The following is a 24,626-nucleotide window of genomic DNA, read 5'->3' as shown; positions in this document are numbered from 1 at the left end:
ACTAGCCTGATTAAAATGGTGAAACTCTGTCTCTACTGAAAATACAAAAATTAGCCGGGTGTGGTGGCGCACGCCTGTAGTTCCAACTGCTCGGAAGGCTGAGGCAGAAGAATTGCCTGAACCCAGGTGGCGGAGGTTTCAGTGAGCCGAGATTGCGCCACTGCACTCCAGCCTGGGCTGCAAGAGTGAAACTCCGTCTCAGAAACAACAACAACAACAGCAACAACAAAAACCTACAAAGAGTCATGCACATGGATGGTAATGGTATTTTTCTTCTCTACTCTTTTTTCCTTCTTCTTAGTGGAAAATATTACCCAACATGATATATGGCAATCTCTGCTTTGGCAGTTTGGAGGAATTAATGCAAAATAAATAATCTATTAAGACATTTGTGGGCTGGGCACAGTGGCTCACGCCTGTAATCCCAGCACTTTGGGAGGCCGAGGTGGGCAGATCGTGACGTCAGGAGTTTGAGAGCTTCCTGGCCAACATGGTGAAACCCCGTCTCTACTAAAAATACCAAAATTAGCCAGGTGTGGTGGCACACACCTGTAATTCCAGCTACTCAGGAGGCTGAGGCAGGAGAATCACTTGAACCCAGGAGGCAGAGGTTGCAGTGAGCCAAGATTGCACCATTGCACTCCAGCCTGGGTGACAGAGCAGGACTCCGTCTCAAAGAAAAAAAAGAAGACATTTGTGTCATCAGCACCACTGTTAAGAAAACTTATCCAAAGCTTGAAAATAAGGTAAACTGATTTTTAATTTCCTGCTAGACATTACAGCTTTGAGGGATATGCCTCTGCCTAGCCTACCATTTACTCCTGATTAGAACCCAGACATTTACAACTCTCTAAACTTAAAGATTAATGAGCAGACAACCAATAAGGTGCAGTGATTTTCCTTTGTCACCAGCAGAAAAGCCCACTCCAGAGCTGCATTTCCCTGGAGAATATGATTCTCAGAGCGTGGTGCTGGGCCAGCAGCAGCACTTGGGAATGTGGATTCTCAGGCCCCGCTCTGGACCTACAAAATCACAAACTCGGGGTGCAGCCAGGCACCCCAAGCTTCTTCTGTTGTGTGCTCTGGTTTGAGAAGGATTGTGGTGGAGCATTAACATTTTCCAGCTGATGAGCAAATATTATCTCAGTATTCCGTTTCCCATTACTGATTATAAAATTCCCTTTTCCTCATATCGTCTTTTGTCTTGTCTATGTCTTCCTGCTGGTTCCCTCACTAATGAGTTAAACACAATTTTCATGCCATGCTCACTACTCGTTTTTATGAGGATTATGTTTTTAACATTTTGAAAATTAGACTCTGACACCAACACTAAGGGAAATGCACTGAGTTTCTGTTTCTGGTTGTGCTTCCTGGTGGCTGCCGACAGGGCCTCTGTCACACTCCAGTGGCCTCCCAGCACCTAGTGAACAGCCACCCTCTGTTTGGGGAACGTTCCACATCAAGGGTCTCTCATCTTCAGGATGGGAAGGCCAGAAATTCACTTTCGCAGACTCCATTTCCTCAAGGGTACAACACATGATCAGGATCCACCACATGGGCGTGCCTGGGAGGGACCGCAGGAGACAGTGCAAACATGCTTCCCAGGCCCATTTTCTGGTGGAGGTAACTGGAGGGGTTCTCACTCTGTGGCCTCCTAGAATTTGGGTGGTTTCTTTGTCTTTTCATTTATTTATTTTAGAGATGAAGTCTTGTTGTGTTGCCCAGGCTGGTCTCAAACTCGTGACCTCAAGTGCTCCTCCTGCCTTGGCCTCCCAAAGTGTTGTTGATGGCAGCAGTGGGACATCCGGAGTGGCCACTGCCATCATGCCAGCTGCAGCAGGGAGGTACAGGCAGTGGTGGCAGGAGGCAGGAGTGGCTGCAGGAGCAGCAGTGGCAGTGGTGGGTCCCCTGTGCCCCATCTCAGAGGCAGCCAATGGCATCATCCCCACCCTCACATAGCCAGGCAGGACGCTCTCCCAGGCCCAGAGCCTCTGCTGTGGCTTCAACCTCGCTCCCCACCACATCCCGGGAGCCCGTGAGCACCGAGCCAAAGGCACAGCTGGGGCTTTCAGGGCCAGCCCTGAGAGCATCAGGTTCATTTGTGCGGGGTTGGCCAGGGTCGCCCTGCCACCTGCACCTCACCTGCCACCACTGCAGGGAAAACACAGAGAGGAGGTGAGCAGTCCTTGGAGCCCACCCCTGGGAGCCCTCCAAAGCCGGCCACCCTGGGAGCCACCAAGATGGGGCCAGGCTGAGTTGCCTGCCAGTGGGGGAGCAGCACGGTAGAGCACGGAGGGACGGGCAGAAAGGGGCTCCTAGGCGGAGCTGGACCCAGGGCAGTGCCATGCTCCATGGTACTGGGAGGAGCCAGAAGCAGAAGAGCCCCACCCTCCCAAGCACAGCTGCAGCAGCCCAAGTCACAGCTAGGGACCCTGGCCTCCCTGTACTCTTGGGGGCTGGAAGCAGGCAGGAGCCCTACCCTCCTGGGGGCAGCTGCAGCTGCCCAAGCCGTGGCTGAGGACCCAGGCATCTCTGCACTCTTGGGGACCAGGATGGCCCCCCTTCCTCCCACATGCTGGGAGTGTCTGCTCCCACTATCTGGCCTCTCCCTGCTCCTGGCACCCACTACAATCTTGAAGCAAGGATGGGGCTGAGCCTGGGCACTGTCACAGACCAGCCAGGTGTGCACACACTCAGGGCAGCACTGACATACCAGCCCCCTGCCACCTCAGCCCCCTCTGGACTTGGGCACTGATGAGCATGGGAAGGAGGCTGACAGTGGGCTGAGGGCAGCTTGGTGCTGGTCTGCAGGCACCCTTTGGCATGAACAGCCTAGGCTTCATGAATGGCAGCAGGAGGCATACAGGCCCCAGGGTGGAAGGCGACGGGTCCCCAGTGAAGCCCCAACTTCAAGCTAGGGAGGGCCTGAAGCCCGGGGGCTGGGCTGCTGGTCCTGTGGACTGGAATGGGAACTTGTGGTGCTTTTTCTGGGCCTACCCATGGCTGCCCATGGACCAATTGGCATGTGCTTCCTCCCTTCTGAGGCCCATAAAAACCCTGGACTTAGCCAGACCAGAAGAGATGTCGGGACTGCCAGCTGTGGAGAGGAGCTACCCACTCTAAGGTCTCCTCTCTGCTGAGAGCAGGGAAATGACAAGACAACCTTCTCTGCGGGGGAGCTACCCTCTCTACTGAGCGCTAAGTACTCATCGGGACGACCTGCCTAGGAGAGAGGAGCTACCCTCTCTATTAAGGGCTGAACACTCACTGGGACACCCTGGCTACGGAGAGGAGCTACTCACCGTGGCTCTCCTCTGAGCTGTTCCATTGCTCAATAAAGCTCCTCTTCATCTTGCTCACCCTTCACTTATCTGAGTACTTCATTCTTCCCGGACACAGGACAAGAACTCAGGACCTGCTAAATTGCAGGGCTAAGAGAGCTGTAACACAAACAGGGCTGAAACACACCCCTTGCTTGCCATGTTATGGGTGACAAGGAGAAAAAAAGAGAGGAGAGAAGAGCTGTGGCCCTTTGGGGAACCCAGACCTAGGAGCTCCCTGAGCCAGGGTTGTGCCTCCCCCTTTATGGCTCTGTGGTTCCTGGTGTCTCCAAGCTTCCAGGCACCACTGTGTTCCTCAGTGTCAGCTGTGGAAGTTGCTTATGGTATGCCTGGTCTAGCCACAGCCTCGCAGGAAGCTGGTGCCTGTACAGGTGCCTAGAACTGCCTGCCTGGCCATAACCGGCGTGCCTGGCTGTGCACAGTGGCCGGGCCCCATGCTTGCTCACACACCCCTTGCCGCTCCTCACCTGGCTCACCCTTGGCAAGTATGAGATCTAAGCCAGTAGCGCAAGCTGAGCACAGCCTGCCAGGCCGAGTGGGCAGAATGAGCCCAAACAGGCCAGAGCAAAACTTGGACAAAGGTGCCACTGGCCACAGAGGTTTCTGGCTGCTGAAGTGACACTCAAGGATCCTGTAATATTGGGATTATAGGCTGAGTCACTGCACCCAGCAATGGTGTCCTTTTCTGCTTAAACAAAAGCATCTTTCTTTCTTTCTTTCTTTCTTTCTTTCTTTCTTTCTTTCTTTCTTTCTTTCTTTCTTTTTTGAGATGGAGTTTCACTCTGTCACCCAGGCTAGAGTACAGTGGCACAATCTTGGCTCACTGAAACCTCCATCTCCTGGGTTCAAGTGATTCTCCTGCCTCAGCCTCCCAAGTAGCTGGGATAATAGGTGCCCACCACCACGCCCAGCTAATTTTTTTTTTTAGACGGAGTCTTGCTCTGTGGCCCAGGCTGGAGTGCAGTGGCACAATCTCGGCTCACTGCAACCTCTGCCTCCCTGGTTCAAGCAATTCGCCTGGCTCAGCCTCCCAAGTAGCTGGGACTACAGGTGTGTGCCGCCATGCTCAGCTAATTTTTGTATTTTTAGTAGAGACGGGGTTTCATCATGTTGGCCAGGATGGTCTTGATCTCTTGACCTCGTGATCTGCCTGCCTCGACCTCTCAAAGTGCTGGGATTACAGGCGTGAGCCGCTGGGATTACAGGCATGAGCCACTGTGCCCAGCTTAATTTTTGTGTTTTTAGTAGATATGGGGTTTCACCACGTTGGCCAGGCTGGTCTCGAACTCCCAACCTCAGGTGATCCACCCGCCTCGGCCTCCCAAAGTGCTGGGATTACAGACATGAGCCACCATGCTTGGCTCAAGAACATATTTCTTACTATTTCTTACTGCAAACTTTGACCGATACAAATCAAGAAGAGTCTATTTGATATGGCATTCTCCTGCATGTCATTACAAAATTCAGGATAATTTATGTGGAAAGACAGTCAGGCAATAAGGATTATATCATGTCTAAGCAATGTCTGCTTTAGTAGAAATGAGGTCTGGGGGCCACCTCTCTGCTGTGTTTGACTGGCATGTGGCTTAGGGCTTGCCTCTCGGTACCCTGGTCCACCAGGTTCTTGGCAACTGCAGAGAACATGCATCTCCTCACTTTTGCCTCCCTCCCTGGGGGCCTGGAGAGCCCTATCCTGACTGCATGACTCACAGCTCCTTCAGCTTCTGTCTGCAGCTCCCCTTGTGGGAAAAAGACAGCCAGAGGTATATAATTTTAAAACAAGACTTTGTTGCTGCATTGCAAGAAGGAAGAAAGAGAATGCTCACTGGGCAGTCTGGGACTGTTTGACCCCCCAAGTTCTTTAACACATCAAAATGACAAACTTTCTTTTACATCTGAATATACGCAAGATATCTACCAGAAATCACTTTGGGATCTGCAGGGAAGAGAGGGCCCTGTGCACACAAAGAAATTTCAGGCCAGGCACAATGGCTCAACTTGAGTCCTGGTGTTTGAATAGCATGGGCAACACAGCAAGGTCTCGTCTCTCAAAAAACAACAAAAAAAAGCCAGGTGTGGTGGCTGTGGTTTGTGGTTCAAGCTACTCAGGAGGCTGAGGCAAGAGGATCACTTGAGCCCAGGAGGTAGAGGCTGCAGTGAGCTGTGATTGCGCCACTGCACTCCAGCTTTGGTGAAAGAATGAGATCTTGTCTCAAAAATAAATAAACAAATAATAAAGAAATTTCACAAGGCTGTCACAATTGACACGAAACCAAATGCAATGTGAGAGCCTTGGTTGGATTTTGAATGGAAACTAATAACAGCTATAGGAGACCCTTTGGTACAATTAGGGGGAAATCTGAATATGGATTATGAAATGCATTGTATATGAGGCAATGCGTATAGGGGAATGTATTGTATTGAAGTTAAATTTCCAGTATATGATCATTGCACCATGGTTTTGCAGAAGAAACTAGTTCTTCTAGCTTGTCTGCAAGTAACTCAAAGTGTGTCTGTAAGTAACTCAAACACAAAATTTAAATTAAAAATATACGTGGAGAGATAAGGTAAAGTGGTAAGAAAACTGGATTAAAAACGTATCGCTAACTAGAGAATCTAGATGAAGTGTCTATGGGTGCTCACTGCATAATTCTTATGACTTCTCTTTAGGTTAGAAAATAGTCAAAAATAAAGTAGAATTGGGGAGTTTGGTTAGAAGCTTATATGTGTAGGGTCTCCCAGTTTCTCCCACTTTCTTTCTGAGACACAGAGAGCACCTTGGCCACTCTGTGATCTGGCTGGCTGCATGCTTCCGCTGTGGGCTGGAACCTGAGCTGGGGCCCTGAACATTCCCAGGCACTGATAAACTTGCTTATGTTGTTGTCCAAAACACTTCAAGATCAAACATCTTGCTAAACATGTAGCAACTGACACCTTCCCCACGCCCCTCTCCAAGGGCTCCTCTCCGGGGGGCACCCATTTCCCTGAAGGCCACCTGAGGCCTGTGACAGCCCTATGTATGTAAGCGCCCTAATGCATGCTTTGCACTGGTCACCCTGGCGTTTGGTGCTTCTTTCTTTGGAATCCCATCCAGGGCTGGTCTGGGGTACCAGACCAGGGAACAAGGGAACAGGGGAACAAGGGTACCAGACAAGGGAACATCCTTGCCGCAACCCTAGCTGTGGGTTCAGCTGAGAGGATGCAATTTCTGACAAGATGACCATAAGTTGGTCACCCTTTCAGTTGGGTGGCTGGTGCTTATTTGAGGCTTCAGTGTGATATTCATTCTAACATTCCATAGAACAGTTTTTTAAAGGCTGAACATCTGGGCTGGGCACGGTGGCTCATGCCTGTAATCCCAGCACTTTGGGAGGCCGAGGTGGGCGGATCACGAGGTCAGGAGATCGAGACCATCCTGGCTAACACGGTGAAACCCCATCTCTACTAAATATACAAAAAATTAGCCAGGCGTGGTGGCGGGTGCCTGTAGTCCCAGCTACTCGGGAGGCTGAGGCAGGAGATTGGCGTGAACCCGGGAGGCGGAGCTTGCAGTGAGCCAAGATCGCGCCACTGCACTCCAGCTTGGGCGACAGAGCAAGACTCCGTCTCAAAAAAAAAAAAAAAAAAAGGCTGCACATCTGAAAAGAGATCTAAACGTGCATTTTTATAATAAGGGGGCTCTCCTTCAGCATCAGTTCAAAAGTTCAAAGGGGAGGGTGTTACTGAATGTCTCTACAGGAGTCACATGAGTTATTCACGGGAATAACACATTAGGGAACATTTTTGAGGTTTTTTTTTTTTTTTTTGGAGATGGTATTTCACTCTGTCACACAGGCTGGAGTGCAGTGGCGCGATCTCGGCTCACTACAGCCTCTGCCCTCTGGGTTCAAGCAATTCTCCTGCCTCAGCCTCCCAAGTAGCTGGGATTACAAGCACACGCCACCATGCCTGGCTAATTTTTTTGTATTTTTAGTAGAGGTGGGATTTCACTGTGTTGTCCAGGCTGGTCTCGACCTCCTGAGCTCAGGCAATCCACCTGCCTCAGTCTCCCAAAGTGCTAGGATTACAGGTGTGAGCCACCGTGCCCGGCCACATTTTTGAGTTTTAAACTTTTAGAAAACATGATGTAAAGTTCTGTGATGACAGAGGGGCAATTTTTCTCTTTGTTCTCTACTCTGTGGATGTAAAAATCCATTCCTGTATATTTGTTAGGCTATAAATGTACCATTTCCAGGACGGTAATACAACCTAACAGGGACAAACCTGTAGTCCCAAAACAATGGATTTCTTAGCATCCTTGCAGCAAGAGTGATCACTTACCTGAGGAACCTGGTGTCCTCTTCAAACAAAGGTAGAGGAAGGGTTTGTTTGTTTGTTTGTTTGTTTGTTTTTTGAGACGGAGTCTAGCTCTGTCTCCCAGGCTGGAGTGCAGTGGTGCGATCTCTGCTCACTGCAAGCTTCGCCTCCTGGGCTCACGCCATTCTGCCTCAGCCTCCCGAGTAGCTGGGACTACAGGCGCCCGCCACCATTCCCGGCTAATTTTTTGTATTTTAGTAGAGGGGTTTCACCGTGTTAGCCAGGATGGTCTCGATCTCCTGACCTCATGATCCACCCGCCTCAGCCTTCCAAAGTGCTGGGATTACAGGCATGAGCCACTGCGCCTGGCCACATAGAGGCAGGGTTCTTACAGGATCTGGAGGAGGGTGGAGGTTAGGTACAATATAAATGAATCAGTGTTGTGGATAGGCGTGAAGCAAGCAGGATTATGTGTGTAAAGCTATAAAGGGGTTAACATCAGAAGCCGACCCAGGGTCCTGTTCCCTTAGAAACTACAAAGTTAAAATAAATGTAGGATGTTGTGCTTAAAAAGCTCCTTTGTTTGTTTGTTTGTTTGTTTGTTTGTTTTTGAGACCGAGTCTTGCTCTGTTGCCCAGGCTGGAGTGCAGTGGTGCCATCTCAGCTCACTACCAGCTCTGCCTCCTGGGTTCCCACCATTCTCCTGCCTCAGCCTCCTGAGTAGCTGGGACTACAGGCGCCCGCCACCACACCCGGCTAATTTTTTGTATTTTTAGTAGAGAAGGGGTTTCACCGTGTTAGCCGGAATGGTCTTGATCTCCTGACCTCGTGATCCGCCCACGTCAGCCTCCCAAAGTTAAAAAGCTCTTTTCTAAAAAAAAAAAAAAAAAAAAAAAAAGAAAGAAAGAAGAGAAAAATCCTGTTTCAGCTGGAAATTGAGGCTGCTTCTTTGTGTCAAAGAATGTTCCAGTCTCACTAACATGGTTTCAAACAGCAAAGTTTCTGACAGTCCGTGATTTTACAGAACAAGGTTCTCTAAAATCTATAGTTTACATTTTCTATAGGTTGACAATCACAGAGGAGGACTGTGGCTAAGAGACACTCCTGCAGGTCATCACGGTGAGACGGGGAAGGAGGACTCCCAGGTGGACAGGATAAGATAAAGATGGTTCTGAAGCTGTAGGTGGCACTGTGCCCAGGGCATTTTGGGATCCAGTTCAAGCTGTGGTCCTAGGGTCATCCTCACACCTCCCTTCACAGTGTGGCCCTCACTCCTTCAGTCTGGATGCCTCCGGGTACCCTGTTTACCCTTCAAGGCTCTCAATCTTAAGTGGTGTCTGTGTTGATAGACAAGCCAGGCTCTCCCATGGTGATGGCAGTCTTGGTGAGGTTGTATGGGGTGTCCATGAGTGGGTGATTCTCATAATGAGCTGCACGAACCCCCATATGGTGAGGTTGCACTGTATGGTGAAGGGGGGTCCAGGGATTTTCACAGCTGGCCTATGTGGTGGAAAGCAGTCACTGTCCTCTGGATTTCCAACGGGAAAGGATGTGTTGCTGTGGGATCCAGGGTTGGCCTGGCAGGCCCTTAGTAACGTGAAAAGAAATTGGACTAGAAGAGAGGTTTTGTTTTGTTTTGAGCTAGAGTCTCACTCTGTCGCCCAGGCTGGAGTGCAGTGGTGAGATCTCGGCTCACTGCAGCCTCTGCCTCCTGAGTTCAAGCGATTCTCCCACCTCAGCCTCCCGAGTAGTTGGGACTACAGGTGCCCGCCACCACACCCAGCTAATTTTTTTGTAGAGACAGGGTTTCACCAGGTTGGCCAGGCTGGTCTTGAACTCTTGACCTCAAGTGATCCGCCATCCTCGGCTTCCCAAAGTGCTGGGATTACAGGCGTGAGCCAACGCACCCAGCCAGAAGAGAGGTTTTGAAGGATCACCCAGAACCTGCATGGAAAGCCCCACAGCCTCCCTGCAGAGGACTGCCTGGGATCCAAAGCCAAAGTCGGTGACTTTGCTTTACATCTTCACCTGACAACTGGAAGGACCCAGGCCGTTTGCAGTCTGTGTGGCTGAGGTTGAACCCAACTATGAACTGAGCTCTGCCTGGGTTCTGGTTTGAGAACTAGAGGGACTGAGCTGACCACTAGCTATGGTTATTATGTCAGTGATCCCATAACTTCAAGTGGGGAGTGGCCACATGGCCCAGGTCTCTGGATCAGTCGTGCATGTGACCTATCCCTTCTGTCCACCCACCCAAGCTGACACGCTCTTAAGATATGCAAATGTTGGCCCAGCGCGGTGGCTCATACCTGCAATCCCAGCACTGTGGGAGGCCGAGGCGGGTGGATCACGAGGTCAGGAAATCGAGACCATCCTGGCTAACATGGTGAAACCCCGTCTCTACTAAAAATACAAAAAAAAAAAAATTAGCCAGGCGTGGTGGTGGGTGCCTGTAGTCCCAGCTACTCGGGACGCTGAGGCAGGAGAATGGCATGAACCCGGGAGGCAGAGCTTGCAGTGAGCCGAGATCGCGCCACTGCACTCCAGCATGGGCAACAGAGCCAGACTCTGTCTCAAAAAAAAAAAAAAATGCAAATATGTGGGGCCAGGCACGGTGGCTCACGCCTGTAATCCCAGCACTTTGGGAGGCCAAGGTGGGTGGATCACCTAAGGTTGGGAGTTTGAGACCTGCCTGACCAACATGGAGAAACCTCGTCTCTACTAAAAATACATAATTAGCCGGGCATGGTGGCACATGCCTATAATCCTAGCTACTCGGGAGGCTGAGGCAGGAGACTCGCTTGAACCCGGGAGGCAGAGGTTGCGGTGAACCGAGATCGCACCACTGCACTCCAGCCTGGGCAACAAGAGTGAAACTCCATCTCAAAAAAAAAAAAGATATGCAAATGTTTTCACATCTGTCATGTCTGATATAGTAGTAGCTAGCCACATGTGGCTGCTGAGCACTTCAAATCTGACTAGCATGACTGAGGAACTGAATGTTTAATTTTATTTAATTTTAGTTAATTGAAATTGAAATTGAGAAACTGATTCTTGATTCAGTTTTGGAAAACTTGTATGTTTGGAATGCCTTGGATACTTGGCTCTACTTGTTCTCCTACAGAGACCGTAATTCCACGTAATCAGGTTGCTTGAAGTTGTCCTTCAGCTCTGTTCATTTTTGTTTGTTTTTTATATCTACCATGTTTCTACTGAACATGTTCAATCTCTCCTCTAGCTTTTTGAACAGACGGAATGTATTTACAGTAGCCATTTTAGTGCCCTTGACTACTAAATCTGTGTCCCGCATTTCACTTTGAGGTCTGTTTCCGCCGATTGAATTTTCTCTTCTTTATAGGTTGCGTATTTCTGTTTCTTTGCAGGCTTGGTAAGTTTTGACTGGATGCTAGACACTGAAATTTTTACCTTGTTTGGTGCTTCTCCTTCCCATCCCCTTCTTTCTCTTTGAAAAATATTTTGGTTTTGTGTTCCTTAAACGTTTGAGAGGCTTTGTTCTGGATCACAGGTAAGTTACTGGAAGCAGTTTGTTCCTTTTAAGCTTTTATGCTTTATAAGGAATGACCAGGTAGATCAGCCTTATTCTAGGGCTACTTTGCTCCCACTACTAAGGCAACACCCTCCTGAGCCCCCTTCCTGATGACCTATGTATTACCAGGTGTCTCCACTCTGGCTGTTCGGAATGTGAACTATTTCTAGCCCTGCAAGCTCCAGGAACTGTTCCATCTGCTTTTTTCTGGCAGTTATTTCCCCTGCCTCATGTAGTTTCAGTAAAAACTTAACTTGCAGCCTCCACGACATGTCAACCTACACTGGCCTGTAAGCAAAAAGCCTTGAGGGGATCAGTGGCAGATTTCTGAAATGCAGTCTCTGTGCAGCTCTCTTTGGTCATTTGTCCTGTGAATCCTAGCCACCGTTACCTCCCTACATTGTCAACTCATGAAACGTGTTGGTCTCTGTCTGGGAGAGTGGCCGACCTTCCCAGTTTAACCAGGACTGAGGAGTTCCCAGGACCAGGACTCTCAGCGTCAAAGCTGGGGAATCTCAGGTGCCCTGCACTGGGCTGCCTGGCCTCATACTGCAGCCTGCAAGCTCTGTCCAGGCAGCAGCTGGAGAGCTGCAGGGCTCAAATCACGGTTCTGCACTTCCTGTTTTCCGGTGTTTGGAAACCAATGTTTCTCCCTCTTTTTTTTTGAGACAGAGTCTCGCCCTGTCGCCAGGCTGGAGTGCAATGGCGCAATCTCTGCTCACTGCAAGCTCCGCCTCCCGGGTTCAAGCGATTCTCCCGCCTCAGCCTCCTGAGTAGCTGGGACTACAGGTGCGTGCAACCACGCCCAGCTAATTTTTGTATTTTTAGTAGAGACGAGGTTTCACCATGTTGGCCAGGATGGTCTCAATCTCCTGACCTCGTGATCCACCCGCCTCCGCCTCCCAAAGTGCTGGGATTACAGGCATGAGCCACTGCGCCCTGCCTGGAAACCAATGTTTCTTATAGTTTGTCTCGGTTTTCATTGTTGTTGTTTAAAGCAGGAGGCAAAATCTGTCCTGACACTCCATCACAGGTGGAAGTGGAAGACATTTAGCCTAGTAACATCTAAAGGAATTATTGATAATGTTTGTAGTTACGTCTGCTATTTTATTATTTGATTTTTGTTTGTTCTCTGTGATTTTGTTCCTCTTTTTCTTCCCTTCCTGCCTTATTTTGGGTTATTTGAATATTGTTATAATTCTATTTTCTGGCTGGGCATGGTGGCTCACACCTATAATCCCAGCACTTTGGGAGGCCAAAGTGGGTGGATCATCTGAGTTCAGGAGTTTGAGACCAGCCTGGGCAACATGGTGAGACACTGTCTCTAAGAAAAATACAAAAAATTAGCTGGGGTGATGGCATGTGCCTGTAGTCCCAGCTACTCAGGAGGCTGAGGTGGGAGGATCACTTCAGCCTGGGAGGCAGAGGTTGCAGTGAGCCAAGATCCTGCCACTGCATTCCAGCCTGGGTGACAGAGTGAGACCCTGTCTCAAAAAAAAAATTCAGTTACACCTCTTTGCATCATTTTTTAGTGGCTATTCTAGGGATTATAATATCAACCTGTGTGTTTTCATAATCTATTTAAATTTAATATTGTAGCTCTTCACATAAAATATGGAAATCTTAGAACTTTATAAGTCCATTTACACCTCCTTCCTGTCCCTTGTGTAACAGTTGTCATATGCATTGTATCTATGCATATATTATAAACCATTGGAAACAATGTTATGATTTTCACTTTAAATCATCATATGTATTCTGATGCTCTTCATTTCATGCCTTGAATATCCAAGTCTCCATCTGGTACTTTTTCCCGTAGGCCCATAGAACTTCCTTCTCTTTTTTTTTTTTTTTTTTTTTTTGAGACGGAGTCTCGCTCTGTCACCCAGGCTGACAGATCTCGGCTCATTGCAACCTCCATCTCCCAGGTTCAAGTGATCCTCCCACCTCAGCCTCCTGAGTAGTTGGGACTACAGGTGCAAGCCACCATGCCCAGCTAAGTTTTGTATTTTTTGTTGAGTAGGGTTTTTGCTAAGCTGCTTAGGCTAGTCTCAAACTCCTGAGTTCAAGTGATCTGCCCACCTCGGCCTCCCAAATTACAGCCATGAGCCACTGCACCCGGCCCTGATTTCTTGTACGGATTTGCTGAAGAAACATTATCTTAACTTTCTTTTATATGAAATTTAATTATTTTATCTTTATCACTGATGGATATTTTCATTACATATAGAAATAGGTGTTGACAACTTTTGTCTTTCAACACTTTCAAAATACTGTTCCACTGTTGTCTGGCACCCACTGTTTTCCTATTTTCTTTTATTTCAATAGGTTTTTGGGGAACAGGTGGTGTTTGGTTACATGAATAAGTTCTTTAGTGGTGATTTCTGAGATTTTGGTGCAACTCTTCTTTTTTTTTTTTTTTTTTTGAGACAGAGTCTCTCTCTGTCACCCAGGCTGGATGGAATGCAGTGGTGCGATCTTGGCTCACTGCAACCTCCTCTGCCTCCTGGGTTCAAGCTATCTCCTGCCTCAGTCTCCCAAGTAGCTGGCATTACAGGCACACACCACCATGCCTGGCTAATTTTTTTTTGTATTTTTAGTAGAGACAGGGTTTCACCATATTGGCCAGGCTTGTCTTGAACTCCTGACCTCAGGCAATCCACCAGCCTCAGCCTCCTAAAGTGCTGGGATTACAGGCATGAGCCACCACGCCTGGCCCTCTTATTTTCTTGATAAGAAGAAAGTCATTGTCCCCTTTAAATAATGTCTTATTTTCCTCTGGCTTCTGTCAAAATTTGCTCTTTACTATTTGTTTTCAGCAGTTAAACTATAATGGGCTTATATGCATTTTCTTCACATTGATCCTACTTGGAATTCAACAGCATTTTTGAATCTGTAAATTTGTATCTTTCAGCAAACTTGGGAAAATTTCGGCCAGTATCCCTTCAGACATTTTTTCTCTCTCATTCTTCCACCTTTCCCTCCAGGACTTGAATTAAACATATTCTCAGCCTTTGATATTGCCCTACAGGTTTCTGAGACTTTGTTTTTTTTTTTCTTACAACTATTTTTTCTTTGTTCTTATGCCATTTCCATTCTGCCTTTAAGCCCATTTGGTGACCTTTTTATTGCAGATATTGATATTTCAGTTCCAGGATTTCTATTTGATTCTTTTGTATAGTTTTTATTTCACTGCTATTTTCTTTTTGTTTTTTTAGAGACAAGGTCTGGCTCTGTTGCCCAGGCTGGAATGCAGTGGTGTGATCATGGCTCACTATAGCCTGCAACTCCTGGGCTCAAGTGATCCTCCCACCTCAGCCACCCAAGTAGCTGGGATTACAGGTGTGTACCACCACACCCAGCTCTTTCTTTTTTTTTTTTTTTTTTTATAGAGACAGAGTTTCATCATGTTGCCTAGGCTGGAATTTGTTTTTTGTAGAGACAGGGTCTCACTATGTTGCCTAGGCTGGTCTTGAACTCTTGGCCTCAAGCGATCCTGCTGCCTCAGCCTCCCAAAGTGCTGGGATTACAGGTGTGAACCACTGCACCTGGCCTTCATTGCTATTTTCCATCTTTCATTCATTTCAAACATACTTTCCTTTACCTCATTGTGCACAGTTACCATAGCTGCTTTGAATTCCTCATATACTAATTTTGATATCTGACATATCTTATGGTTGATCATCTTTCTTGTTTTATTTCTTAAAAAGGGGCACATTTTCCTGTTTCCTCATATGTCAAATAATTTTGAGCTGGGCGCAGTGGCTCATGCCTGTAACCCCAGCACTTTGGGAAGCTGAGGTGGGTGGATCACCTGAGGTTGGGAGTGTGATACCAGCCTGACCAACATGGAGAAACCCTGTCTCTACTAAAAAATACAAAATTAGCCAGGCGTGGTGGTGCATGCCTGTAGTCCCAGCTACTCTGAAGGCTGAGGCAGGAGAATTGCTTGAACCTGGGAGGCGGAGGTTGCAGTGAGCCAAGATCGCACCATTGCACTCCAGCCTGGGCAACAAGAGCGAAACTCCATCTCAAAATAATAATAATAATAATTTTGGATCATATCCTGGACATTACTACTGTTATGTTGTTGAAAGTATGAATTTTGTTATATACCTCCAAAGACAGTTAATATTTTTGTTTTAGCAGGCAATTAATGGTATTTAGTGGTTTCTTGACTAGTAGCTTACATCTCCGCTCACTTCTTTTTGTTCTAGTTTGGCTGCTTGGAATTTGCCCCATAGGAGTGGTTTGGTGGTCAACTGGACCCCTGGATGTAGTTTATGCACAGATTCTGCGGCTTCACATCTCTGAATCTCTTCTCACTTTTCAGTGGCTTTGGTTGCTCTGTACTCTGTCTTCTGCTTCTTCAGTCCAGAAATACCATGGATTTTCTATCAGAGTTTCAGGCTTCCTGTCTAGATGCCAAGTATGTCCTGTCCTCAGTCTATAAACCATCGACATCGGGTTACTCCTATTGGGCAGGTCCCTTTTTCCATGTGTCTGCACCTAACTAGGTCTGCCTGCTTTGGTTCACTCTCCAAAGCCTTTAGATATTTGTGCTTGCATTATGTCCACAGTTCATAGTTGTTATATGAGGGAGGATTGGTCTAGGATTATTACTTGACCATCTAGGAACCATAATTCCATGGGTGTTTTAACTTCTTTTAAATTTGAAAACAAAAATTTAGAAAATAACATTTTAGGCTGTGTTAGTCTCATGGATGGTGGGAAATGCCTTTTCAGGCAAAAACCTGACCAGGTCACACTCCTTTTTAAAAACTGTCTTTCGGCTGGGCGCGGTGGCTCACGCCTGTAATCCCAGCACTTTGGGAGGCCAAGGCGGGCGGATCACGAGGTCAGGAGATCGAGACCATCCTGGCTAACAAGGTGAAACCCCATCTCTACTAAATATACAAAAATTAGCCGAGCATGGTGGCGGGCGCCTGTAGTCCCAGCTACTCGGGAGGCTGAGGCAGGAGAATGGTGTGAACCCAGGAGGCAGAGCTTGCAGTGAGCCTAGATTGCGCCACTGCACTCCAGCCTGGGTGACAGAGCGAGACTCCATCTCAAAAAAACAAAACAAAACAAAAAAAAAACCCTGTCTTCCATACCTAGGTAAGGCATCAAAAAACATTTCCAGATCTCCTCCACCATACCTGTCTGGGGAGGATTACGGTAAAGAGGTGTCTTGGAGTATTACGATATTACCTAGACTTTCCTTTATCGCTGCAGTTTTATATTCCTATAACATCCCGCTAATGTTGCTGGCAATATTGCTACTAAGCACACTACACTGTGGGATTCTTTTTTTTTTTTAAGACACCGTCTCACTGTATCACCAAGGCTGGAGTGCAGTGGCGCGATCTTGGCTCACTGCAACCTCCACCTCCCAGATTTAAGTGATCCTCCTGCCTCAGCCTCCCAAGTAGCTACAATGACAGGCATGCACCACCACGCCTGGCTAATTTTTGTATTTTTAGTAGAAATGGGGTTTCACCATGTTGGCCATGCTGGTCTTGAACTCCTGACCTTCAGTGATCCACCCACCTTGGCCTCCCAAGGTGCTGGGATTACAGGCATAGGCCACCTGGCTTTCTTTTTTGAGACAGAGTCTTGCTCTGTCGCCCAGGTTGGAGTGCAGTGGTGCAATCTTGGCTCACTGCAACCTCCACCTCCCGGGTTCAAGCGATTTTCTGAGTAGCTGGGACTACAATGGTGCCATCACATCCAGCTAATTTTTTGTATTTTTAGTAGAGACGGGGTTTCGCCATGTTAGCCAGGATAGTCTTGATCTCCTGACCTTGTGATCCGCCCGCCTCGGCCTCCCAAAGTGCTGGGATTACAGGCGTGAGCCACCATGCCCGGCCTTTTTTTTTTTAAATTAAAAAAAAAAAAATTCTCCTCTCCCATCCTCCTGGGATTCTTGAAGCAAGAAATTGTTGTAATCATCTCAATTGCCAGCAACTATCAGATCAATAACTGCTAATGTTTCTTGAGCCCTTATTAACAACAGGCACTTGCTAAGAGTTTTGTATGGATTATCTCATTTATTCCTTGCCATACACTTCAACGTAAGCACAGAGCTGATATTCTCCCAATTTTAACAGATAAGTGAACAGGCTGAGAAATTTAGGCAATCCGCCCAAGGTTACACAGATAGTAGGTGGCAGAGCCTGACTGTAATTTAGCAATCTGACTTGATTCTTGGATACATGAATAAATGCATATACTGAACATGTGGGCCACTGTTTTCTACATGTTGTAGAACAGTGTGTTCCCTCGTACCATGACACTTTGTCATTTCTTTTTAAGTTTTAGTGATTTTTAAATACAAAGGAATATATTAATTTTCATTGTAAGAAAACATTCAAACATTACAGATTAAGTCACATCTACCTTTTCCTTTCCAGAAGTTACTGTTATTGATGGGTGTGTTTCTTTCTTCCAGGCCTTCCATTATTTTCCTACAAACGTCAGCATATTTTCTGTAATTTTCTGCAATTTGTTGTATTCATTTATGTTTTATGACTTTTTGTACTAGTACTTACAGATCTAGTTTTTTTTTTCTCTGTTGCCCAGGCTGGAATCACTGGCATGATCAGGGCTCATTGCAGCCTCGACCTCCTATGCTCAAACAATCCTCCCGCCTCAGCCTGCTGGGTAGCTGGGACTATAGGCGTGCACCACCACAACTGGCTTTTTTTTTTTTTTTTTAATTTCTTTGTAGAGATAGGGTTTCATCACATTGCCCAAGCTGGACTTCATTCTTTTTAATAGCTGTGTACTATTCCCTAGAATGGCTAGTCCATCATTTATTCAATGATTCTCCTATTAATCGTCATTAACGTTTCCATTTGTTTCCCATTAGAAAAAAAGCACTTCATCCATACATCTTTTGGGGACTGCTTCTCAAGAGTATATTCTGTAGTTTAAATTTTTTAAAATCACTAAGGTTGTTCTGATTATGGAACATTTAAATCATTATAATTGATTCAAGTGGACAGCACAGATATTCTTCTGTGCTTAGATGATCGTATTGATAAAAAAAAAGATAATAAATATTAGGGCCTGAATGCTAAGTGCACATTTGTGAAGCCAAATCATATTTGTATAAGCCCAACAATATGAGAAAACTCCTTACATCAATATTTATAGAGATGGATCACATATTTTTGTAATTCCTGACTTACTAGTTAGGATTTTAGTTTTTTGTAAGCTGACATTCTTTCCTCTAACATAAACATGGTTTTCCTTAACAAGTGTTTTATTCTAGAAATGGTCTCGTTAGATTTTTCTGTAAATGTGTTTCGGGTTAATTAATTCGGCAGGGTTTTGTTTTGTTTAGAGATGGGGTCTTGCTTTGTTGCCCAGGCTAGAGTGTAGTGGCACAATCACAGCTCACTGCAGCCTTGACCTCCTGGGCTCTGCGATCCTCTTGCCGTAGCCTCTGGAGTAGCTGGGACTACTATAGGGCTTCACCGGGTAATTCCGAGTACCTGCATGTAGCCAATACAGTTCTGGGAACTTGCGGCTGTAGTAGTACATAAAACACACAATATCATTACCCTCTTGGAGGCCAGGCGCAGTGGCTCACGCCTATAAGCCCAGCACTGTGGGAGGCCGAGGCTGGTGGACCACTTGCTGTCAGAAGTTCAAAACCAGCCTGACGAAACCCCATTTCTAGTAAAAGTTCCAGATCAACATGGTGAAAGCCCCTCTCTACTAAAAATACAAAAATTAGCGGCGTGGTGGCAGGCGCCTGTAATATCAGCTACTGGGGAGGCTGAGGCAGGAGAATCGCTTGAATCTGGGAGGCGGAGGTTTCAGTGAGCCGAAATTGCACCACTGTACTCCAGCCTTGGGCAACAGAGCGAGACTCTGTCTCAAAAATAAAAAATAAAAAAAAAAGATTACCCTCTCGTAATTTTTCATGCTATTAAGGGAAGAGACAATAAAAAAAATAAGTAAATATTCATTACGCCAGATAGTGATAAATTCTTTGGAGAAAAACAAAGCAGGGTAAGGGAATGGAGAATTTTGGGGGGCTTGCAATTTTCATTAGGGTGGCAATTTTCCTTTTCACGGAAAAGGAGGTGTGTGATAAAGCTGGAAGGAGGTGAGCGAGCATCAGACATGGAATATAAGGATGCAGAGGGTGAGGGGGTAGGGAAAGCATTTTAGGGAGAGGGTACTGCAAGCACGAAGGCCATGAGGCAAAAACCTGTGCTCGGCAATTTGTCTTGGCCACAAAAGCTTTATCCCAGTCGTCAGTCCATTAAACCCTGTAGCTTTAAGTGTTGTGAGATCACAATCTTTATTTTTTAACTTGTGATGGTTCTGGACGGCAATTGCTGTTTCCTGCAATCTGTGGATGAATGAATGAGCAAAGCAGTTAGCAGCGGGATGAGTACAGGGGAGCAGCTCCACACCTGACACCTTATCCAAGTTCCCCCAGACCCTTGGCGCCCTGGTTCCCCCAGAACTTCGTTTGCATTCGTCTTTAAATGTCTTCTCAGTTTGCCTTGGGTCAGTTATTTGTATACCGATTAGACCTGTGCCGCCCACTGCGGTAGCAGCTAGTAGGAATTGGATGTGCTTTAAGTGTAAATACCAGATTTCCAAGACTTGCTGCAAAAACTGTAAAACATTCCACTAACGATTTTGCAATACTGCCTACATGCTGAAATAATTTGACTTTATTGGGTTGAGATATATTACTGTAACTTTCTTTTTTCATTAGAAAAATGTAGCCACTAGCAAATGTGAAGTGTCAGGCGTGTGGCGCGCAGATGCCTCTTTAAACTGGATGGCGCCGGGTTGGCCCTCACTATCAGCGGGCTCCCGACAGGAGGCGCCCCAGCTTGCGGCCGGGGGCAGCGCCTACCAGGCAGTTGGCAGGCAGTTCCAGCCCCGGGCCACGGCACTGCAGGGCCCGAGCCAGGTTACGGCAACCGGGGGCCCTGCAAACAGCTCCCGATTAGGGGGTGCTTTTGGGTGGGAAAGCGCAGGCCCTGGATGGAGGCCCGACCTGCGGCGCTCCAGCTCATCGCCCCGCCTCTTTGCGGCAGAGCTCAGGCCGGCGCAAACCGGTTCAGTGCTAGGACTGACGTCTCGCGCCGCCCAACCGCAGCACGCCCCCGCCTCCCCAGTCCTCTGGAAGAGACAGGGAACGTCTAGCCGCCAGGGTCCCGGGAGGCGGCTCTGTACCAGACGGACTATACTGAGAGCCTATGACAATAGCCGAAGGTGCCGGGGGGGGGGGGGGGGTGGCCTACTACCAATAAAGGAAGGGGAGGGGCGGGCCCTCGTTAGCTTCCCCCCCCTACCACGCTTCCTCGGGCGCGGGTCTACCCAGAGCCTAACGGGCGCGCGAGTGTGGGGGAAGGGCCTGGCGCGGGCTGGAGACTGCGCAGTGCGGTGCCGGCCGGGAGGGGGGGGGGGGGTGACGTAATCTCCGTCCGCGGCCGCGGCGCCCCGCCCCGCGACACCCTCCGCGAACCGCGAGAGCGCAGCGCAGGCGGTCCGCAGCAGCCGCAGCTCGGGGGCGGTGCCTGCCTTGCAGCCTCCCCTCGGCGATCGCGCAGCCCCATCTTTGTCCGGCCTCCGCGCTTTGTTCTCGGCGCCCGGGCCTTGGCCAGCCTGGCCAGCCGCCGAGCAGCCCCCACGCCGCGCTGGCGTCGTCCTCGCCTCCCTCGCCGCCGCCCCCCGCGCGCGGCCGGGCCTTGCCCCCCATGGTGTCCCGGCCAGAGCCCGAGGGCGAGGCCATGGACGCCGAGCTGGCGGTAGCGCCGCCGGGCTGCTCGCACCTGGGCAGCTTCAAGGTGGACAACTGGAAGCAGAACCTGCGGGCCATCTACCAGTGCTTCGTGTGGAGCGGCACGGCTGAGGCCCGCAAGCGCAAGGTGCGCCCGGCAGCCCACCGCGCGGCGGGCTCGGGGCCTTCTGCCGCTCCTGAGGCCGGCCGGCGGAGGGGCCCTTTTCCTGCCCTCTTCCCTTCCCCCGTTGCCTTTCCCTGTCCTTCCTCTTCCTCTCTCCTTCTGCCCTCTCTTCTCTTTACCCCTTCCCCCTCCTTTCCTTCCCCCCTCAACTCTCTCCCTTCCCTTATCTCCTCATCTTCCTATCCTTCCCCTCTCCCCCCTTCCCCCATTCTTCCTTTCCCTCCCCCTCCTCTCTGTCCCCTCCCCCTCCTCTCTGTCCCCTCCCCCTCCTTTCTCTCCGCCCTCCCCCTCCCTTATCCTTCTTGGCCCGGGAGGGGCGAGTGCTTCCGGGCCGGGGGTGGTGTTCTCCTGCCCTGCTGCCTGGGGAGCCTGGGACTTCGGTGGGCGGTCCCGGGCGTTCCTGCGCGAGGTCCTTGCGGGGAACTCTCCTGGTTCTGGAGGGTTCGGGGCTGGATGCGGGTGCAGAGAAAGAAATATTTCAAAAAAATGAGTAAAGGATGGGGGGCTGTCGAGTTCTGGGCGTTGGTCTGCAGCGGTCACCCGCCGCCAGGAGCGACCTTGGACGGGAGCTGGGGCAGGAGGCGGGCTGGGGGGCGCGGGGCCGGAGCTTCGCGGCTGCCTCGGGGCCCGCGAGGAGCTGGAGGTGGAGGGCGGCAGGGGCTGGGGCCGGGGCGAGCCTGTGGGTGCGGAGCCACAGCCCGGGTTTGCGTTGCGGCTGAGGAGTAGACTTGGAAGCGCGCCGTGGGCTGTGGGAGGCCTTAACCAGGAGTGAGTCCCCTCGGGGAGCCCAGTCTTGCGTCCCGCAGTTAGGCTTGGTAAGGGTTTGGAAATCAAAACGTAACGTGATTCTTCTATGTGAATAAAGTTTATTTTTACAGTTTCACGCGCTTTTGTAGATTACAATCCGAGATTGGGAGTTGTGAGGGCAGTTTCCACCTTGAGTGGCATTTTTTTATTTATGGGAATACCAACAGGCTCGCTGAGATTGTAGGGTATGTTAAGCAGTAATTCAAAAAAAAAATTATTTTTTTGAGACGAAGTCTCGCTTTGTACCCCAGGCTGGAGTGCAGTGGCGCGATTTCGGCTCACTACAATCTCCGCCTCCCGGGTTCAGCCGATTCTCCTGCCTCAGCCTCCTGAGTAGCTGGGATTACAGGCTCCTGCTACCACGCCCGGCTAATTTTTGTATTTTTAGTAGAGACGGGGTTTCACCATGTTGGCCAGGCTGGTCTGGAACTCCTGATCTCAGGTGATCCACCCGCCTCTGCCTCCCAAAGTGTTGGGATTACAGGCATGAGCCACCGTGCCCGGCCTCAAAATTTTTTTTATCTGTAATGGTATCAGGTAGCGTTATGTCTGGATGAACTAAAATCAGACATAAAACGTTTCAGGATCGGAGTTAGAGTCTTGCTAGTAGAATTGTGTGTCTTTAAGAAAAGATGGCCTGGCTTGGCGCGGTGGCTGACGCCTGTAATCCCAGCACGTGGGGAGGCCGAGGGGGGCAGATCACGAGGTCAGGAGTTCGAGACCAGCCTGGCCAACATGGTGAAACCTCATCTCTACTAAAAATACGAAAAGTAGCCGGGTGTGATGGCGGGCGCCTGTAATCCCAGCTACTCCAGAGGTTGAGGCAGGAGAATCACTTCAACCCGGGAGGCGGAGGTTGCAGTGAGCAGTGATCGCGCCACTGTACTCCAGACTGGGTGACAGAGCAAGACCCCCTCCGGAAAAAAAAAAAAAAGGGTGGCCTGGTTGAAGCCAGTCTTCTACAGGGAATGTGCTGTTGCTACTCTGGGTCAGTAGTGTCCGGATTGGGACGTGACGCGCCCAAGATTTGTTACTACTTTGGATGAAGTGGGGACCGCCCCACTCTTCCTCTCCCTCCTTTTCTTTTTCCGTTCCCTCCCTCCCTCTCCCTTTCTTCCCCCCTCTGGTATTTTTTAACCAAATAGAAGGAGTCAAGTTTAAACCATCATTAACTAACTTTGCCTAATTTCCTAAAGTTAAGAATTACTTTTTTTTTTTGCGCTACTTATGGCTCTGATTAATCTTTTAATTTCAGATGTCAGTTGCTTAGTTTCAAAACTGTTGAGCCACATGTATGTTATTCACCAATTAGAAGTTGAACTGTAGTCGGGTAGTGAAAAATATTTCTTTCAAAATTTAGGTGGGGGCTGCTGCAGTGCCAGTTGGCAGTGTGCCAGCAAGGAGCCCTTAAGCCCTCCATGCTTTTTCCTCTGACTGGGGGGACTTATTTACCTGTATCACTTCATGTGCGGTGTCCTGCATTTCTAGCACTCTCTAGTGGCCCAGTTAAGGAAGAGTTGGTTTGGGAAATAGTTTAACAAACCTGATGATTAACAGTTGGACAATCTGCATAGGATTTCCATCAGATCTGTAAGCTTAGGACATTTTGTTTTTTAAATTTTATTTTATTAAAAATTATTTTTTGTAGAGACAGAGTCTTGCTCTGTTACCCAGGATGGAGTGCAATGGTCTGGTCAGTGATCACTGCAGCCTCAGATTCCTGGACTCCAGCCTCTCCTGAGTAGCTGGGACTACGGGCGTGTGTCACCACGACCGGCTAATATTTGTAGAGACAGTGTCTCACTATATTGCACAGGCTGGTCTTGAACTCCTGGACTCAAGCCATCCTCCTGTCTCCCAGAGTGCTGGGATTACAGGCCAGAGCCACTGAGCCCAGCCATATTTTTGGTTTTAATGATATGAACTTGACTGTAAAAGTACTTTAAGCTGATGATTGTGCCACTGTACTCCAGCCTGGACAACAAAACCTATCTCAAAACAAACTTCAACTTGAATTATAATCTTTGTAAACAAACAAAGGTACTTTTTGAGATGGACATCTCAGGTACAGTTTAAAGAAATGAATCCCTGAATGAATAGGAATTACGAGTTTTGTTATCTAAGGACAGATGGATTATGCATTTTGTACCCAAACTTTGATTCTTCTTTTAACAGGCAGAACATGACAAAAACATGACCAGGCTTGATAAATTTCTGTCCAAAAGAAGCTTGAATTGCAGTAAAACTCTGTTTTTTGAGATGGGGTTTTCACTCTTTTTGCCCAGGCTGGAGGGCAATGGCGTGATCTCGGCTCACCACAGCCTCCCCCTCCAGGGTTTAAGTGATTCTCCCAAGTAGCTGGGATTACAGGCATGCGCCACCATGCCTGGCTAATTTTGTATTTTTCGTAGAGATGGGGTTTCTTCATGTTGGTCAGACTGGTCTCGAACTCCCAACCTCAGGTGATCCGCCCATCTTGGCCTCCCAAAGTGCTGGGATTACAGGCATGAGCCACCGCGCCTGGCCCGAATTGCCATAAAACTCTTGTATTGCAGACTATAAAAATATTTCTGCCGGGCATGGTGGCTCACGCCTGTAATCCCAGCACGTTGGGAGGCCGAGGCGGGCGGATCACGAGGTCAGGAGATCGAGACCATCCTGGCTAACACGGTGAAACCATGTCTTTACTAAAAA

General features: G+C 48.6%; 1 protein-coding gene across 3 annotated transcripts in view, besides 6 other annotated features; it reads left to right on the top strand.

Moving 5' to 3' along the window:
- Positions 1,652 to 1,771: an enhancer, noted in NCBI's record as "active region_11877". NCBI's record gives its function as "activates an Ori minimal core promoter by ATAC-STARR-seq in GM12878 lymphoblastoid cells {active_cell/tissue: GM12878}" and the evidence as "EXISTENCE:reporter gene assay evidence [ECO:0000049][PMID:35858748]".
- Positions 11,753 to 12,339: an enhancer, noted in NCBI's record as "H3K27ac-H3K4me1 hESC enhancer chr17:20954728-20955314 (GRCh37/hg19 assembly coordinates)". NCBI's record gives its function as "activates a minimal SCP1, AML or CMV promoter by ChIP-STARR-seq in primed H9 embryonic stem cells {active_cell/tissue: H9 hESC(primed)}" and the evidence as "EXISTENCE:reporter gene assay evidence [ECO:0000049][PMID:30033119]".
- Positions 19,025 to 19,972: an enhancer, noted in NCBI's record as "NANOG-H3K27ac-H3K4me1 hESC enhancer chr17:20947095-20948042 (GRCh37/hg19 assembly coordinates)". NCBI's record gives its function as "activates a minimal SCP1, AML or CMV promoter by ChIP-STARR-seq in naive and primed H9 embryonic stem cells {active_cell/tissue: H9 hESC(naive and primed)}" and the evidence as "EXISTENCE:reporter gene assay evidence [ECO:0000049][PMID:30033119]".
- Positions 19,973 to 20,922: an enhancer, noted in NCBI's record as "NANOG-H3K27ac-H3K4me1 hESC enhancer chr17:20946145-20947094 (GRCh37/hg19 assembly coordinates)". NCBI's record gives its function as "activates a minimal SCP1, AML or CMV promoter by ChIP-STARR-seq in naive H9 embryonic stem cells {active_cell/tissue: H9 hESC(naive)}" and the evidence as "EXISTENCE:reporter gene assay evidence [ECO:0000049][PMID:30033119]".
- Positions 19,973 to 21,057: a biological region, named in NCBI's record as "NANOG-H3K27ac-H3K4me1 hESC enhancer GRCh37_chr17:20946145-20947094".
- USP22 (ubiquitin specific peptidase 22) overlaps positions 20,335 to 24,626 on the top strand; it is a 43,824-nt gene continuing 39,532 nt past the window's right edge. For 2 of the 3 annotated variants that reach the window (XM_047435703.1, NM_015276.2), the window contains exon 1: positions 20,743 to 21,089. Coding sequence is in view for 1 of the 3 variants with exons in the window: in NM_015276.2 (NP_056091.1) it covers positions 20,919 to 21,089 (171 nt within the window). In the remaining 2 variants the exon portion in view is untranslated. Of the gene's footprint in view, positions 20,434 to 20,742; positions 21,090 to 24,626 lie in introns of those variants that run through there. The other variant, XM_005256575.3, reaches the window with a different exon arrangement.
- Positions 20,458 to 21,057: a silencer, noted in NCBI's record as "silent region_8312". NCBI's record gives its function as "represses an Ori minimal core promoter by ATAC-STARR-seq in GM12878 lymphoblastoid cells {active_cell/tissue: GM12878}" and the evidence as "EXISTENCE:reporter gene assay evidence [ECO:0000049][PMID:35858748]".

This window comes from Homo sapiens, chromosome 17 (genome assembly GCF_000001405.40).
Source record: "Homo sapiens chromosome 17, GRCh38.p14 Primary Assembly".
In the NCBI taxonomy this organism is placed as follows: Eukaryota; Metazoa; Chordata; class Mammalia; order Primates; family Hominidae; genus Homo; species Homo sapiens.
This window is presented reverse-complemented; position numbering and strand designations above follow the sequence as displayed.